The sequence below is a fragment of the Homo sapiens genome, chromosome 10, assembly GCF_000001405.40.
Source record: "Homo sapiens chromosome 10, GRCh38.p14 Primary Assembly".
Classification (NCBI taxonomy): Eukaryota; Metazoa; Chordata; class Mammalia; order Primates; family Hominidae; genus Homo; species Homo sapiens.
In genome coordinates this window covers 99,553,573-99,557,804 of record NC_000010.11, presented here as the reverse complement: position 1 = coordinate 99,557,804, position 4,232 = coordinate 99,553,573, and the positions used below count along the sequence as shown (strand labels likewise).

At 45.8% G+C, this 4,232-nt stretch overlaps 1 annotated feature.

Moving 5' to 3' along the window:
* Positions 1,463-1,622: an enhancer, noted in NCBI's record as "active region_3871". NCBI's record gives its function as "activates an Ori minimal core promoter by ATAC-STARR-seq in GM12878 lymphoblastoid cells {active_cell/tissue: GM12878}" and the evidence as "EXISTENCE:reporter gene assay evidence [ECO:0000049][PMID:35858748]".

The window sequence follows — 4,232 nt, the reverse complement described above, 5'->3', positions numbered from 1 at the left end:
CAAAAAAAAAAAAAAAAAAAAAAAAAAAGAAAGAAATAATAACAGGACTTACCTCACAGATTTGTTCTGAGGATTAAACCAAGTAATGTAAATAAAGCACTTTAGCCTATCATATATTAATAGTAGCTATTTCCAATTGAGCTAAACACATTTAATTATGTCGAAACTATTAGGTTTTTTTGGTAGATATAGGTAGCTGGCAAACATTATGGGTTGCTGAAAGCTATCTACTCCTCCTACAACTTCACATCACACAAGTTTTGAGTCAAATTCTGCCACATTTTGTAGACAAAAGACACACTTTTATCAGCCAATTCACACAAAAATAATCTGTTTTGAAAGCTGATTACAGCTCTGTCCTTCTGCGTGCTCCAAACATGCCCTGCATGAAAGGTCTGCTTGAGGGGGACTCCATAATCTGGAGGCAGGATTAGGTTAACCTAAGGCTTTGGGCAACTTGATTCCCTTGGCCTCATGGCTGGACTTGGGAACATTTCAGAATCTAGCCTCAGGTACCACCCAGAAAGGTGAAATAGATAGGGCCCAGCAGATTCTTTTTTCTTATCATGAAAGGGCAGAGAGTGACTGCAAACTATTCCAGCCAACTTGCATATCTTGGATACCACTGAGTCATGGGGCTTTTTCTTTCTTTTTTTTTTTTTGATGGAGTCTCGCTGTGTCGCCCAGGCTGGAGTACAGTGGCGCAATCTCAGCTCACTGTAACCTCTGCCTCCCAGGTTCAAGCGATTCTCCTGCCTTAGCCTCCCAAGTAGCTGTGACTATTGGTGCGTGCCACCACGGCCGGCAAACTTTTTGTATTTTTAGTGGAGACAGGGTTTCACTGTATTAGCCAGGATGGTCTCGATCTCCTGACCTCGTGATCTGCCCGCCTCGGCCTCCCAAAGTGCTGGATTACAGGCATGAGCCACCGTGCCAAGCCTGTTTGTTTTTGAGATAGGGCCTCGCTCTATCACCCGGGCTGTAGTGCAGTGTCAAGACCACATCTCACTGCAGCCTTGACTTCCTGGGCTCATGTGATTCTCCCACTCCAGCCTCCCAAGTAGCTGGGACCACAAGTATACACCACCATGCCCAGCTAATTTTTAAATTTTTGTAAAGACAGGGTCTCACTATGTTGCCCAGGCTGGTCTCAAACTCCTGGGCTCAAGCAATCCTCTCACCTTGGCTTTCCAAAGTGCTGGGATTACAGGTGTGAGCCACTGTGCCCGGTCTGGATACCATTGATTTTTAATGCTTAGCACTCATTTCTAACTGGGCTTATTAACACACATCTTTTCCCCAGTGAATCCCCATCCAATATATTTATTATGCTCATTACAATGCTGTGGTGCTAATGGGAGACAACAAAAGGCCATGTAGTAGCAGTGAATGTTTGACTAAATGCTAGCTGATCACTTCCGTATTATGTACAACCTCAGATTAAAGGGCTGACCTCCTCTAGAGCACAGTTTAAGTGAACATATATTTGCTATTATACTGTAGACCACAGACATCTGAGAGCTGACTGCATTTCTCCAGTGCTTCATACTTCTGAAATAGAAACTTGCTTTTAGTTTAGAGCAAAACACCTAGATTCAGAGTCCATTAACATTACAGAAAGCCTCCTATGAGCCAGGCAATTTTTTAAATCCTTCAGCTCATTTACATCTCACCACAGCCCTTTGAGGTGCAGAGTATGACTCACTTTATCGATGAGGAAACTGTGGTTCAGAGAGGTTAAGTTACTTGTCCGAAGCGGTCAGATATTAGGCAGAGGAACAAGGAAAAAAAAAAAAAGAATAAGAATCTCTCTGTAAAAGCAATATCTCACTTTAGGTGAGCATCAAAAAGGAGACTAAGTGTGGTCACCGAGCCTGCCTCCCATTTCCTGCAGAGAGCCTGCCCTTAGTAAGGAAGGCATTTTTCTTCTCGTGTCATTTCAGTGCATCTAATTTACCTCCATTTGGGCATTAATTTCATGCTTTCGATTGACTGCAGAGAAGTATTCTCTTTTCTTGCGGTCCGGCTGAGGATCTCCAGGCCTGTTCATGCTGCCTGGGCCATGCCCAGTCCCAGACCACCCCCATCTAGAGTTACAGCGAGCTGAGGGCTAGGGTTACTGCACTTAACACTGAAAGGCCCCCTCATTTCAGCCTTTTAGAGCCAGGAGGCTCATCGCTCATCACTCATCACTTGCCAGTTGGCCGTTGTATTTAGGGCTTGCTTTGTTTCTGCAAGTGCTGAAAACAAGCACTGGGTGAGGGGCCATCGAGAATGGAACAGGCTGAGCAGGACTGGAGGATGAGTGACAGGGGAATTAGGAGAGGCGACATTCCCAGGGTGTTGGGCTCGTGGACACGCGTGAGGGTTTCCACGGTTGACACTGTGCTTGTGACGAAGGACCGCCATGCACTGTTCCCAAATGGGATGACTGAGGGCCTACTACGTGCAAAGCATTTTTAAATGGGAACTTCAACACAGACCCTGTCTTTGAGGAGAGGCTTATAGGAAAAGGATAGGGTAGGTTTCCCCCAAATTTACCCCCAACACACACAATCAATCTGTTCCTCCTCCTCTCCCCTTCACATATCTCCAGTCTCCATGAAAGATAATTGCCCAAAGATGTAGAATATTTGGCAAAAAGAAGGTGAAGAAAAAAGAATGAGAATCTCTCTGTAAATGTGTCATTTCACTTTATGCGAGGAACAAAAATGAGAACAAGTGTGGCCACTAAGCCTGCCTCCCATCTGCAGAAAGCCTGCCCTTAGAAAGAAGATTCATTTATCCTCTCATGTCACTTACCTTCTCACCTAGTCCAGGAATCAGGAAGTCATCCTGGAGTCTCCCCTCTCCTGCACCTCTTACATCTGATCAACTATCACATCCTCCAAATATTATCTCCCCTTCTTTCCCATTTCTATGACCCTGGTTTAGTATTTCCTTGTCTCTTGCTGGGACTATTGCAATAGCTCCCCATGAGTTTCCCTGATCCAGGATCAGCCTCTTAGCCCACCCGCTCTCCACTGCAGCCAGAGTGATCTCTCTAAAGCGCACAGCTAATCACAGTGGAAATCTGCCCGCAGCTTTCCCATCACCCACAACATAAAGCCCAAGCTCCCTATTCATTCCGTCTCTCTTTCAGTAAGTATTTGATGAGCACATTCTGTGTCCTAGGATCAAGTATACTATGCCAGGATCCAGAATACAGGAGTGAAGGAAATCGACATAGTCTTTGTCCTCAGGAAGTTTTCAGTCTAGTGAGGGAAACAAGACAAGTAAATAAGGAAACATAATATCAAGTTGTGACACAAGCTGCCAAGTAAAGGAACTGGGGGCTAGGATAAAGAATAACCATGAGTATCAGAATCACAGATAGCTATGAGAGAGAGAGGAGAGATAGAGAGAGAGAGGAGAGAGAAAGAGAGGAGGATGAATAATAGTGGGCACCTACTTATGACCAGACACTCAGGGGGCATCTATGAGAACTGAAGAAGGAGTAGGAGGTGGCTGGAGGAAGAATGGGCACAGCACAAAGGAGCTTGATGCATTTGAGAAGCAGAAGGCAGTCGTGTGGCTGCACAGTGATGAGCCGCCGGGAGGCAGGGAGAGTGTGGGGTGGGGAGAGACAGGGTTGGACCGTGCCTTGTAGGCCACGAGGAAGCATCTGGATTGCATTGTAAGGACACAGGAAAGTCACTGAAGGCTTTTAAGCAGGTAAGTCATGCAATCTGACTTACATTCTTAGCACATCACTTTGGTGACTGCCTGAAGATTGGCTCAGAGGGACACAAGAGAAGTCACATTATGTGGTGAATTGAGTCCCCCAAAATTCATGTGTTAAAGTCCAAATGCCCAATACCTCAAAATGTGACTGTATTAGGAGACAGAGTCTTTAAAGTGGCAATTAAGTCAAAGTGAGGTCATTAGGGTGAGTCCTGACTCAATAGGACTGGTGTCCTCATAAGAAGAGGGGATCGGGACACAGACACACACACAGGGAAGACCACGTGAAGACAGGGAGAAGAAGACCGCCATCTACAAAGGAAGGAGAGAGGTGTCGGAAGAAACCAACCCTGCTGACACTTTCACCTTCGACATCTAGTCTCCAGATTTGTGAGAAAGTCGATTTCTGTTGTTCAAGCCACCCAGACGGTGGCACTCTGTTACAGCAGCCCTGGCAAACGAACACCAGAGGGCTGTCCAGTTAAGGGCCCATAGCCAGGCATGGTGAC